Genomic DNA, 14,070 nt, shown 5'->3' with positions numbered 1-14,070 from the left:
ATTTCATTACGTGGGGAGTTCATTTCGTGGGGAGGGGCTGGGAAGGTGGGGAAGAAAACGACATTCGGAAAGACCTAGGGTGTGGACAAGGTGCGGGTATGGGAGAAGAGGCAGTGGCGACAAATCCATGAAGAAGTTTGGCTGTGAAGGACCAGAGAAAAATGCAGTGGGGGTGGGTGGGGGTGGAGTGGGAGGTAGCAGGAGATGAGAGAGAAGGACTTGTAAATGGCTGATGGGGAGGGTGAAGCCGAGGACCTGGGAGAGGGCAGGACTAATCTCTGGAGTTGCACTATACAATACAGTAGCCACTAGCAGCGTTCAGCTACCTAAATGAACTAAGATAAAATAATTTATCCCCTTGGTGGTACTGACCACATTTTAAGTGCTCAGTAGTCACAGGTGGCTAGTGGCTATTCTATTGGACAGCACAGAGATGGAACAGTTCCATCACTGCAACTGTTGTGCAGCGCTGCCCTAGAGTTGGAGCAGCTAGCATCCAGAGCCCAAGAGTGGGATTGGCCTTTAGATGGGTGGAAAGACACCTGGAACCAGAGGGTAGGCAGACAGGATGCTGTGGACAGACGTGTGATGGCAACATGCTGGGGTGGGGGAGGTCATGGTCTCTGTGAAGTGGAGTGTGGGGCTGAAGTCAGCTGAGTGGAGAATGAGGGAAGTAACTGTGTGTCGAGAGCTGAGCAGGAAGATGCAGGATTCACAGGGCTGGTGGTGGTGCTACTGCTTAGCAAGGCTGAGTGATTTCCTCCTGCTGGGCTGGGCCTCCTGGGAGCAAGCCTAGAGGAGGGCAGGAGGGCCTGTTGGATTTATAGTGGGCTGATGTTTATCCAGGCTGTGCTACTGGGACAGGGGAGCTGAGGATCCTCAAACAGGTGGCTGCAGGGATGGAGCACAGAGCTTAGGGCCTCAGAAGAGAGTTCACTCTGTGTACTGTGACAAGGAGGTTTGTGGTGTGCCTAGGTAATAGAGGACTGGAGAGAAGTCAGTGGAATGGGGGATTCAGCTATCTATTGGGTAGCAAACTACCCCAAAACTTAGTGACTTATATCAACATTTAGTTTGTTCATGAATCTGCTACTTGGCTGTACTCAGCAGGGATAATTTGTGCTTCACTCAGTGTCAGCTGGGTAGCTTGAATGGTGATGCAACTTGGCATCAAGTGGGGTGGCTCAAAGGCCGGGATTGGAATCATTTGAAGGCTTGCTCTTTCACCTATCTGGTGGCTGGTGCTAGGTGGTGGCTAGGACATTAGCTAGGGCTATTGGCTGGAACACCTACACTTGACCTCTTCATGTGGTCTGGGCTCCCTTACAACATGGTGGATGGGTTGCAAGGGTGACAGTCCCAAGAGAAAAAGAGAGAAGGAAGCCATGTAATCATTTATGACTTAGACTAGGATGTATGTGGCTACATTCTATTCGTGGAGACAGTCACAAAGACCCACCCAGGTTCAAGTGGAGGGGAAAGAGACTTCTCTTGAAGGGGGTAGAGGCACGGTGCTGGAATAGCATGTGGGACCAGAAACATTGCTGTGGCCATTATTTGGAAAACACAATATGCCACAGAGTCCAAGAAGTGAAAAGCCAAAGTCTTATCCTTTCTCAGGACAGGAGAGGAAGAGGTTTCACCAGGTTCAAATTGTTTCAATTTGTTCATGCAGCTAATATTTACTGAATACCTATTATGTTCCAAGCTCTGTTTTAGGTGCTGAGGATACAAAATGGATAAAAATCCCAGTCCTTGTGGAGATGACATAGTAGTGGGGGAAGAATCACAATAAACAAACAAGCAAGTGTTGGCTGGGTGCGGTGGCTCACGCCTGTAATCTCAGCACTTTGGGAGGCCAAGGTGGGTGGATCACCTGAGGTCAGGAGTTTGAGACCAGCCTGGACAACATGGAGAAACCCTATCTCTACTACAAATACAAAAATTAGCCTGGCGTGGTGGTGGTGGGGCGGTGGGGGGGCGCTCCTGTAATCCCAGCCAAGGCAGGAGAATTGCTTGAATCTGGGAGAAGGAGGTTGCAGTGAGCTGAAATCGCGCCATTGCACTGCAGCCTGAGCGACAAGAGCAAAACTCCGTCTCAAAAAACAAACAAAAAAACCAAGCAAGTGTTTATTATGTTAGGTGATGCTAAATGTTATGCAGGAATCACAGCCAGCAACAGAAAGTAAGCAGATGAAGGAAGGAGGGTAGGTGGAGCAGCTTGGGCCTCCCAGGAGCCGCTCTCCGCAGGGTGGAAGGAGGAAAGTCTCTAAACTGCAGGAAGGAGTGGGAAGGTTTGACCATTCCTTTTAATGTTGTATCCCAGCCGCCTAGCTTGTAGAGCTGGATAAACTTCTGTAAGGTGTAAGAAAAAGAGTCCCTCAGGCACTGAGTCGTTGCCCAAGGTCACCAGCTAGTTAGAAGCAGTGCACGAAGGGCCTGCAAAACAGAGGGCACATTTGACCCCTGACCTAGGAGGACTTGTGCATGCTGTCCGGTTTCTGAGCTAAACATTCCAGAGGGCTTCTTGGAAACTGGTGCCCCCAGGGAGTGTGTCTGTGCTCGCAAGTTTCTGTACCTTCAGAAAGCCGGAGGGTCCCAGTTGGAGCCAGTCCGAGATGGAGTGGGCTCAAGAAGGAAAGAACGTGGGGATTTAATTGGACTCAGCGAACCCTTCCCGGACCAGCCGGCGTAAACTCTCGGAGGCTGTCGCCTGTGCCCGGCTCTCCTCCCGGCCTGGGGCGCTTGGCAGAAACGCGGTCACGGAAAAGGGGTGAGGGTGGCAATCCCGGGTCTGCCCTCCCGTACACCTCCCTGCTAACCCACCCTGTCTGAGAGGCCACGGGGACCAGGCTACTGGGCATAGTGTGAGGACAAGAAGGGATGGAGGGCTCGGGACGGCGGGGACACGCGGGGGCAGTGTTGGGGGAGCTGGAGTAAGAGTGTTCCGAGAGGGGAACTCGGGCGCGGGGGTGCGGGAAGGAGCCTGGGGTTGGAGTGTCCGGGGTGGGGGTAGGCCGGAGGAGGGGTGGTGTCTCGGAGTGGCGGGGCTGGGAACTCCCCGGGCGAGGCTGAGGCAGCATGGGGGGCCGGTGGTGGTGGCGGGGATTGGGGCCCCCGAGGCATCTCTGACCACAAAGGGCCGGGGAGCGCGGCCCGGCGGTCTCAGCGAGCCGTATTGATCGAAGGGCGGGCGCAGCGAACGCGCCGAGAGCGGCTCCATCCATTAGGGCCGCTGTTCGCCTCCAATTAGAAAAAAAATCATTACTCAGCAGCCAGCAGCGGCCTGCGCGCCGCCTGGGACCGCCAGCGAACAAGCGAGCCAGCGAGGGAATGGCGGGCCTCCCCCACCCCCGCGCTCCCACCCTCAGCCCCCGGCGCCCCGCCTCCCCCGGCCCTAATGACAACTATTAGAACTGCCTCCCCGCACCCACCGCCCGGCGAGCACAAAAGCGCGAGATTCATTTGGTAATCGGGGTAATTACAGCGGGGCGCGGGGGCGCACGCGGCGATGGCGGGCGCGCCGGCGGAATGCTAAGGGGCCGGGCGCGCCGCCCGCTCCCACCGCCCCGCCCTCCCCGCCCGGCCCCTAGCCCGAGCGGCGCCCGGGGCCGCGTCTCTCCTCGCCTAAACCCTCCCCGCTGCCGCCGCTGTAAGCGGGCTGCCCCGGGGCTCCCGAGGACTGGAGGAGAAGCCCCCCGCCCCCCGCCACGGGTCCTCTCGTCCTAGCCCTTGGCAGCGCGGCCAGCGGCGCTCCGGACAAGATTTGCCACGTCCGGGAGCCGGAGAACCCCTCGGAGGTCCGGCCGCATAATAAATACCGCGTGCAATGTATTCACTCTGCGGCCCCCGGTTAATTTATACGCCCGCTCCAAGCCGTGCGCCCGCCTCGGCGCGCGCCCCGGCCTGTCGTTCCTATTTACAGGCGCGAGGCGCAGTCCCTCGAGAGGGCTTTTTTCTTTTTCTTTCTTTTTTTTCTTTTCTTCTTCTTTTTTTTTTTTTTTGAGAGATTTAGGATGGATGCAACGTGTCATTAAACCTGAAAGGAACTGTTATTTATCAGTAATGATGTTTTCCACAGGCCTTTTTCCTCACCTGCGCGGGCACAGGTACCACCTGGGTGGTGGATGCGGGGCGGGGGTGCCAGGAGGCCTGGGTGGGGGTAAACTGTGTGCGGGCCTAGCCGGAGGCGGCCGGGGCACCGCTGGAGGCCACCTCTCCAGACTCCGGGAACCCGAGGGCCTCTCCTTCACTTGGAGGCACGGTGCTGCACCCCCGTTGGGGGGTTCCCCTTGCAGAGCTGCCTAGAACAGCAATGTGTTAGGAGACGCCTCCGAAGAGCCTCCTCCTCCTCAGCTGGCAAGAAACGCAGACTCTCGGCAGTGCCATTCTTGCAGCAGAAAGGCCCTGTGTGACTCCAGCACTCGGAGCAGCCGCCTTATCTGGGGTGATTTCCCATCTGCCTCCCTGGGCCCAGGATTTCCTTCCTGCACAGAACTTATCTTGTCGGGAAGCAGAGCTGTGCGCTAGAGGCAGGCCCAGCAAATGGAATGCTCGTTCGGTCTTGTGTTCTTAATGACCCATAACAGAGTCCTCAGAGGTGAAAAACAAAACCCTCCACCCCCTTAACCATTTCTGTGCCCATCCTGGTCTGGGAGATTTCTTAATCCTGCTGCGCCGTCACACGGACTCCTCTCTGGATTTTATCCTGCGGCCGCCGGGTCCAACTCAGCCGCACCGGGACTGGGGTGGGGAGGCGGAGCCCTGCAAGGGCTTGAAGTAGGGACTGCAAACCCCTGAAAGAGTGGGCAAAATTCTGGGTAGATGCATTTTTCCGAGGGGAGAGTTCTTAAAGGGATCTGAGACAGTCCCAAAGGTTAAGAACCACCTGCCATCCCTTTGACCTTGTTGAAGTTTGATCTCGGAGCCTAGCTTCATTATCAGAAAGAACGAGAATACCCCAAAGCAGTCGTTGTGATTAAAATAGTGAGATAATGCTTTAATATTTGTAAACTGTACAGGCTTCTTCAAAGATAAATTATTAATGATGCCAAAGATGGCTGTGTGGTTGTGCGTGTGTGCACGTGTGAATGCACGTATTTGTGAGGTGATAGTGCAGGGGAAGTGTCGGGGGAGTCACTGGGATTATATTATTTGTCCTGAGACCTCCCCCACCCTCCGCCCCTGACCATTTCTCTCTTCCTCAGGACCAAGTGGGGTTGATCTGGAATATTGCCCCTCGGTTTTGAGAATCACCAAGGCTGGGTGGGAGAGATGGGCAGCAAGGTCTTCCTGCTGAAGCCCGTCTGGTCCTCAGGAGACCCATGGCCCCCTTGGGCACACAGTAGCCATCTGCACGGAGTAGGTGGCTACCACATCTTTGTGGAATAATGGAATCAATGACTGGATAGCTCAGTGGTCTTGGGCCAGGCCCACATCCCTTCTGTACTTGCAAGTGGAAAAGGACTCTGGACCCTTTCCAACTGCAATGTGTCTGTCTCTGGTGGTGGAGGCCCTTCGGTATCTTTTTTGATTCCATGTCTACCTTCTAGGAGCTCAAAGACTGAAATAACCAGAATCCAGGGTGTCAAGCATCCCCATAGAGATGGGGACTGATGTGGTATAGTTCATTCCCCTCATCCACACACTAAGAAGCTACAACAGAGAAAAGCTTGACTGAGGTCATGAGACCAGGGTTCAGAGTTCCCCTCACTGATACCCCCTTACCCCCACACAAAAGGACAGTGGCAGCCATGCAAGGGCACTGCCCAGACCTCCCTTCAGCGGAAAAGTTTCTGGAAGAAGTGTCATGGTTTGCTAGCCTCTGGCTGTGGCACCTTCGGGATCTGCTGCAGCATTCTTGCTGAGGCCACCCTCCCCAGGCTGTTCCCGCCCGATGACAGAGCATAGCAGGGGGACTAGAGCTGGGTCATTACTGCCTGACACAGGAAGTTTCTGATGGGCAGTCTGTGCTCTGGGGCTCCCCATCGGCCTGGCTGAGGCTTTCTCAGAGCTGCGCTGCCGGCTGAGGCTCTCCCTACCCACCCCTCCTTCCTTCCCCTCTCCTTCTGCAGGGGTCAGAGCTGCCTCCCGGTCTGAAGTCCCCCCCCCCCCTTTATCCTTCTTAAAAATCTCCCCCAATACATCTCTCACACTTACTCTCTCTTGGTGTCCTCTACCTGGAGGACTCAAATTGCCACAGGGACTAACACGTAGACTCCCATGCCCTCCGGTATTTTAGGCGGGACCCTTGTGTGTTCAGGAGCATGTAAAGAGCCAAGGGTGGAGCTAGGAGCCCTCAGCTACTCCTTTACCCCATTCCAGAAGGTTCCAGGCTCTACACACTCCCCTGTACCCATCTAGGGCTAGGTGGCCAGCTGTCACACTCTGGCAGTAATGCTGCTCATGACTTGTATTTATTCTTCAAGTTGCTCCTGGGTATATTAGGGCCCATCTCTGCCCAGGTCCCTTGCCAGCAAAAAGGCTGGTTCTTACTCACCAGCTTGCCCTGTTGCTCTGGGAAGTCAGTCCCACGGCCAGACCGCCCTCTTTTCACACGGCCACTCTGAGCACCAATGTGAGAGGCAAATGCCAGCCCTGCAAATCTGTACATGGAATCAGAGGCTCTCCAGACTCACGTCCAAAGGTGCATGGGCGGGGCGAGCCAGGAGACGGGGGAGCCCTGCTCAGTCACAGACACAGATGACATGAAATCAGATGGAGGATAAAAAGCATCACTGGAAAACAAAGGAACTGCTAGAGTCCGTGCCTGCTCGAGAAAAAGCAGTCATCAGCCCAAAGATGGATGAAGTGGAGGGCTGTTATTTTTAAGGTGGGGGCAGAGGTCATTAGCTTGAAGAATGTGTCATATTTGGCATCGGGAGGGTGGTTATGTGAGGCTGGAAAGCAAAGCCTGGTCCGCTCGCTCTCTGGCCAGGGAGATACTATTCCCTGGGGAAAAAGGACAGGCCCTCAACTAGCAGAGAGTGGCATGGAGGAATGTGTCCCCCAACCTTTCTAGAAGACAATAAATCTGTGAATTCTTCTCATTGGCAGGGCTGAAGGTTCATGGGACTGAGGCCAGCACCCAGTGGTGGCCTGGGCTGTAGAACTTCAGAAACAGCTAGTGCTACCCCTGTAGGCTAATTGTTTTTTCCAGAACCAAACTTTACTTGGCAGCACTAGGCTATAGCTCCATGGGCAGGGGTTTTGGGAACGGTGCCTTTGGTCATAGGGTATCAGGGTTATCTACAAACCCTCCTGTTTCTGGGAAACCAGCCTGAAGTCCTCATGCCCTCTGCAGCCAGAGGCCACTGGGCGCTGTGGTTCTGCCAGCTTTGGGGTGAGCAGAGGCAGAGACAATGGGGGAGAAACTCTATGAGGACAATGCCTGCCCAGCCTGAAACATCGCTAACAGATGGAAGGATGCAAACAGCAGCATGCCAAGCCTTCAGAGAGCTGGGAGCTCTGCCTGTGATTCAGGGAAGCTCTGATTCAGAGCTCTGAGCGCGTTGTCGCCCGGTGTCCTCAGGATGAAAGGCCTGCTTGGGGGGCTCCTCTAGTCCATCCCTCCCGGCTCCACCACCTCAAACTCTGCCTTCCAGCAGCAATTTCTTCCAGTTCTCCGGGCTTTGCGAGGCTTTTGCTGGGGCTGTACCCTCAAGCCTAAAACCCTCTGACTCCTAAAACTATCTGACTCCTACAACTATCTGACTCCTACTCATCCTTTCGCTTTCAGCTTAAGCTCCAGGAAGTATGGGCAACCCCCACAGTAAACAAAGCCAAACGTTTTCTTTATCTGGAGCCTTTACTATGCTAATGTACATTGTGAATCTTCCGGAGGTTGGTGGGTGGGGGGCAGTGGAGAGGCCGCCAATCTTTCCAGAAGTATTTGGCCCCAAGAGGCCTCCTACCCCCACGTCTATTAACCCTCTCCCAGAACGAGGTGAGGAGGAGGAGCTTGGGAAATGCTCCTCCAAGAGAAGCAGAGCGGAGGCAAAACCCCTCTTGTGGGGAGGTACAGTCCCTTCTGCCCTCCTGTACCCTGCGGATAAACTTACCCCCTGGAAGGAGAAACCAGAATAGCAGCCCAATCTCTTCTTAATGCAGCTGCAGGGTCAGATCCAAGTTTGGGGGCCTAAAAGTTACGTGAATTTTGGGGCCTTCTTGAAGAAAAACAGTGCAGAGGTACAAATGATAACTGCTAGGACCCTACCAGGGCCTTGGAAGGGGACTGTGCGAGTCAAGGCCCTGAACTTTAAGCTTTATTAGCCTCGAGGTAAAATCCACACCTGTGCAGAGGCTTAATTCTGGACATAGGTGTAGCTAAGACACATCCCTCTCCACATCACGTTTAGGTCAACTGGACGGTCTTGGATGGCCCTCCTTTGACTCTGGTATATCTCTGCCAGGCTCCGGCTGGCCTGCCTGCCTCTAGGCCCACAGCCAGCCTGTGGTTTGTTCTACTGGGCCAGCCATGCAGGTGAGTGGTCTCTGGCACATCCTCTTCAAGCCAGCAGACTGGTAGGGGCAGCACCATATTGGCCGGGCAGATCTATTTGCCCTCCCCTCACCCCATCCACTTTCTGTGCCCAGGAGGCTGATCCTTGATCCTTGGGGACTGGATCCCTTGGGCTGCCTTGACCACTGGCTTCTGGTTGGCTTGGCCAATGGGAGGCAGGTAGGAGGAGTCAGAGGTTGGGTATTTATTTCCACAGCTGGGCTGCCCTTTTGGTGGTGGCTGCGTTCCTCGTCCCATAGCAGCCCTCACCTACAGCTCTTTCCAGGTTCTGCTAACAGCCCCCACTCCTGGCTCCCTCAGTCCAGGGAGTGGTGGCAGCTTCCCATTGTTGCTAGTCCCAGGGTACTTCCCTATCCCTTGTGGTTTCTGTAATCTGCCCACAACTCTGTAAATAGTCCCTTTACAAACTCTTGTCAGTTAACCCTCTTGCTGAGTCTGCCATCCATTGCTACTGGGGCCCTGACTCACAGCACAAGTGGTACCCATGGGCAGTCCCTAAGTCATCCCACCAATCACAGACAAGATATCCTGAGTTCCCCACTGGTCAATTTGAATATGCAAATGTTAGGCATCTGTCCCTGGGGGTAAGCTTTCCACAGCAGTCTAGACCCTGGCGGTGGACTCCCTGATTCACCTATCTGCACTGTGGCACTTAGCACTAAACTGTGTGGGCTCCTCCTTCCTCAGTGTTCAGATTAGGTTATGGGAAGAACATAACCCCTTCCTCCCCCAACTTTCTGTGTTGTTTTGGGTGAGAGCGGACATTATAATTTTGGGGAATGTGATAGAACTGCCCAGAGTACATGAAATCAGCCACATAAATTATTGAACTTAAATGATGATTCTGGTGATGTGCTAGTAAATGTTTAACAACTGGCTCCCTGCCCCCCAAGCCCTGACTTGTAGTATCTGCTGATTTCCATGATGCAAATACTCCCACCACAGCCAGTCTCAAGCTGCCCACGTGATGGTGCTGACCATGGAGTTGAAAAGACACGGACACAGCATTACATAGTATTTCTTTCTTTTTTCTTTTTTTTTTTGACACAGAGTCTCACCCTCTCACCCAGGCTGGAGTGCAATGGTGTGGTCTCAGCTCACTACAACCTCCGCCTCCCGGGTTCAAGCGATTCGCCTGCCTCAGCCTCCAGAGTAGCTGGGACTACAGGTGCCCGCCACCACACCTGGCTAATTTTTGTATTTTTAGTAGAGAGGGGGTTTCATTATGTTGGCCAGGCTGGTCTCGAACTCCTGACCTCGTGATCCACCTGCCTCAGCTTTCCAAAGTGCTGTGATTACAGGTGTGAGCCACCATGCCCTGCCTTTTACATAGTATTTCTACCACACAGTCATGAAAGGGTAAATAACCTCATGAGAGTAAATAATAGTAAACTGTAGCAAAGCAGTCAGGAAGGTGTGAGTTTTCAGTATTTATTACCTTTGTTTTTAATATGACTTACTCCATTTTAAATTTTAATTATTTTAATTATAATTCTATTTTTTATTTTACTTCTTTTAATTTTTATTAATGGCTATGCTTAGTAACCAATTGGCAAAAATTCCTGAAAATTTGATGATCTGATCTCACAAACCAGTACCCTTTGGCTCCAGCACACCATGGAAGGGTTCTACTGGCTCTGTGGCAATGGAAAGAAAAATTAGTTTTCAAGAGAGAAAACAAAAACAAAGAAAAGCTACGAGTATTTCAATTGCGCCATCTTGTGGCGCCACCTAACAGTACTATGCCCCCATGACCTGAACTCCCCCCCATTTTGGTCATGCTGTGTCTCTATCTGGGGTGCCCAAACATCCTGGTTTGCCTGGAACACCTCCTTATTTATGCCTACTACCCTGGTTTAACGATAAAAACACCCCTTTTACTTTCTCAAAAGTGTCCTAGTTTGAACAATAAATGATATGGTTACCTAACCTATACCCCAGTAGACTATAACTAGCTTGAGGGTAGGGACTGTCTTGTTTACCATTGCATCCCTCAGACCACGGAGGCATTCAACTGATATTTGTGAAAAGAGCAGTGAAAGTTAAGGCTATAGAAACAGTTTCCCTGCCTTGTTGGTTACACTGATAACCACTGGGATTTGGAAATCTTTACGCTGTGCAGAGATTTTTAGTGTAATGTGATTGGCCCTGTAATCCCTGACCCCGGCGTCCCTGTGCACAAAAAGCCAGGCTGATAGACGTCAGAGCCTCGTCTCCCAGGGAGCGTGCGGCAGCCAGAGGGTGTTGGTCTGGCCATCTGGTGCAGGAACAGTCGAGCCGTGTGGGAGCCCAGCTGGCACGGGAATCCTTGGCTGTCCCCGGCAAACAGCATGGGGAGGAGAGCTGTGGGATCAATAGTAATTTCCTTCAGAAGAACGGCGATGTAGTGCAGTTGGCAATGGCATTGGGCTTTCCCTGGCACGGAGGCTTCTAAATGTGCTTGGCCCTCTTAGCTAGGAAGTGGACTTACAGCAGAACACTGGACAGGGAAGGGAACAAGGACAGGACTTTCTTGGCCTGAGCCCAAGAGAGGTTGCCAGGTTGGCTGTGGGAGCAAGCTTTCTCTGTGCTTGTATGTCATCGGCAGAAACAACGTAGACACTTTGAGTCACTGATAGAGAGGAAATTGTGGAAGCTGGAACATTCCCGTGGGCCTGCTGGCACCTCCCATGCAACATCCATCTACTCAGCACCTAGGGGAGGCTTCTTTGTGCCAGGAACAGGTGGTAAAGGTGATCTCCATTTCTCACTGTCTAGAGATGGAGGGTAAGGAGTTATCTGACATTTCTGAAGCAGGGCCATCATTGCGGATGGAAATAGTGGCGAGTCTAGGGGCTCAGGGAGTGGCTAGGAGTTCAGAAAGAATGGGTCAAGCTTGAGCTGCCAACTGAAGGATGAGCAGGAGTTTTGTTGGATGGGATGGTGGATTCAGGAGCACACCATATAACTACCCCCTTCAAAGGTTTGGGTGGGGACCGCTGCCCACTTGGAATTGTCCTTAGCTGATAGGAGCTGGCTGAGCTGCCTTGTCCAAGGGAGCGCCCTGCCACCTTCCGGGAGGGCAACTCATTCAATGACTGGTTTATAGGCGGGGGAGACTATGCAAGGACTTACCCCTTTGCCTCAATTTAGGACATCTCTGAAGGGCCATCCCAGCCCCAGAACTTGCCTTGGAGTTGACTGAGGCCTCTGTTGCAACTGCACTGTAGTTCAGCTTCTCCCTCTGCCCCATCCTGCAGCCCTTTCTCCCTCACAGGCATTGTTCCTGACAGCAGCCTCCAATCAGGATCCTATACACCAGTCACCATCTCAGGGTCCATCTCGCACAAAGCCCAGCATAAGCCAGGGAGGGAGGGGTAGCTCTTCTCGGGGAGACAAACAGTGTGCAAACTGTGGCCTGGAGGGTGGGCAAGCTGGCCAGGAGGGAGTGTCCATTCCTGTGGACCAAGCACAGGATTAAAAAAAAAAATCCTAAGAAGCAGATTCTTAATTCCTAAATTTTGGTGGTCAGGGAAGATTCATGGCATAAAGGTCTTGCGTTCCTGTGATTGTGACTGAGGTGTGACCTGTGGCATTTCTTAATATAATTTATATGTTCCTGCATCAGGTCAAGTTTTCCCCCAGCCTACTTTCTTAAGTTGCTCCTGTGTCCCAGTTTGGGCTGGAAAAGTGAGGAAGGGCAAGCGCTTTGGAAGCAGGTAGGCATGTGTTCGTGTCCCTCACTTACTGGTGGTAGAACTATGGGCAGATTCCTTTACCCTTCCGAGCCTGTTTCCTCCCCACCTCACCTCATGTGAGATGGGGATAATGAGATAATGCCTATAAACACATAGCACGGGGCCAGGCATGTAGTAAGCACTCAACAAATACCTTTATTTTCATTCCTGCCATTTTTGCTTCCTTTGCTCAAATTTGCACTCCTTTATCAGAGATGCTTGGTGAGGCCGGGTGCAGTGGCTCACACCTGTAATCCCAGGACTTTGGGGGGCTGAGGCAGGTGGATCACTTGAGCTTAGGAGTTGGAGACCAACCTGGCCAACATGGCAAAACCCCATCTCTATGAAAAATACAAAAATTAGCTGGGTGTGGTGGCACGCACCTGTAATCCCAGCTAGGATTACAAGGCAGGAGAATAGCTTGAACCCGGGAGGCGGAGGTTGCAGTGAGATCACGCTGCTGCACTCCAGCCTGGGCAACAGAGCAAGAGTCCGTCTCAAAAAAAAAAAAAAAAAAAAAAAGGAATGCTTGGTGAGTATCCATTTGGTGTGTGGGTAGGGGGAGGTGGGGGAAAGTGGCCGTGCAGTGGGGAGTGTTGATGGTTTTGATAGTTTTGATAGGAGCAGGATATATAAACAGACCTTCACTTGAGTCCTTTAGAGATTCAGTCTAAAGCTATCCCACATATGGGGCGGCTTAACAGAAGACACAAACTTGCCTTCATCTCCTCCATTTATCAGAGGGGGAAACTGAGGTCTGGAGGGGAACTGATGCCTACAGTTACCAAGTGACATCTGGAGACCCTGAACCCCGGTCTTCCAGTGCCCCAGCCCTTGGCTCACCTGGTCTCCCCAGAAGGGAGAGAAGAAGGCAACCGCTTTGGGGTGAGAGCAGAGCTGCCTCCTGGAGCCTCAAGCGCCAGCCTCTGCTCCTGTTTGTTCCCAAGCTCACCAGAAGGGCACCTCCCTCCTCCCCACTGATGTCAGCCGATGACGTCTGGGCTGCATTCAGGCCATGCTGTCATTTGTCCCATGCTCATTCAGCTGATTAAAAGTCATCAATTGTTTTTTAAGCCACCAGCAGGCGAGCCACCAGGCGCCATTTGTTATTGCTCGGCCATGCTGTGAGATGCTGTTTAAACTCACTGAGCAAAGCTTTCGGAAACCAGAGGCCAAAAGCATTTTTGGAGGAAAGAAAATAGGAGAGAAATGAGTGGGCCCACATCTTTGCCAGAAGGAACAATCAGGCCATGCAGGCGAGGAGCTGGTCCCCCTTTTAGCAGCTCCCACGCAATTCTTTTCAGGGGCCTTTCTCTTGGGGCCAGAGCTGCAGGGAGCCCCCTTCATTTCTCTCCCTTCCGAAATAATCTCCACTGTGGCTAACATTCATTTGGGGAATTTTTTTTTTTAACCTAGTCTCCCTACCTCCAAGTTATCCTCTTGCTTTTTGGCTAGATTAGTGTTCCTACAACACTTCTCCATGCCACTCCTGCTCAACCACCTTCAATGGCTCCTCATTGCCTGTGGAATGAAGATTAAAGCTGTTGCCTGGCATTCGAGTTCTCCACAGTGTGGCTCAGGTCCCTACCTCTGACCTTCCTTGTCACTATACTTTAGCCAAATCACACTTTTCAGCTCCCAGACATGATCCTTGCTCAGCTGTCTTTGTTCACAATGTTCCTTTTATTTGAAATGATGTACTACTTCCCCAGCCCCGGCTCTCAGCATTTTGAACCCCAAGGATCTTCCGATGAGTGTTTTGGAAACTTTGTCCTGGTGTCTTTATGGAGGCCACAGGTCCATATCCTCTTTGTCCCCTTTCAGTCACATGTG

The 14,070-nt window shown here is 52.6% G+C and overlaps 3 annotated features.

Annotated features, from left to right (window-relative positions):
- Window positions 6,318–7,235: an enhancer, noted in NCBI's record as "NANOG-H3K27ac-H3K4me1 hESC enhancer chrX:39676851-39677768 (GRCh37/hg19 assembly coordinates)". NCBI's record gives its function as "activates a minimal SCP1, AML or CMV promoter by ChIP-STARR-seq in naive and primed H9 embryonic stem cells {active_cell/tissue: H9 hESC(naive and primed)}" and the evidence as "EXISTENCE:reporter gene assay evidence [ECO:0000049][PMID:30033119]".
- Window positions 7,236–8,151: an enhancer, noted in NCBI's record as "OCT4-NANOG-H3K27ac-H3K4me1 hESC enhancer chrX:39675935-39676850 (GRCh37/hg19 assembly coordinates)". NCBI's record gives its function as "activates a minimal SCP1, AML or CMV promoter by ChIP-STARR-seq in naive and primed H9 embryonic stem cells {active_cell/tissue: H9 hESC(naive and primed)}" and the evidence as "EXISTENCE:reporter gene assay evidence [ECO:0000049][PMID:30033119]".
- Window positions 10,117–10,176: an enhancer, noted in NCBI's record as "active region_29528". NCBI's record gives its function as "activates an Ori minimal core promoter by ATAC-STARR-seq in GM12878 lymphoblastoid cells {active_cell/tissue: GM12878}" and the evidence as "EXISTENCE:reporter gene assay evidence [ECO:0000049][PMID:35858748]".

The sequence above is a fragment of the Homo sapiens genome, chromosome X (assembly GCF_000001405.40).
Source record: "Homo sapiens chromosome X, GRCh38.p14 Primary Assembly".
NCBI lineage: Eukaryota > Metazoa > Chordata > Mammalia > Primates > Hominidae > Homo > Homo sapiens.
Note: the sequence above shows the minus strand (reverse complement) of the source record. Positions and strands in the feature narration are given on the sequence as shown.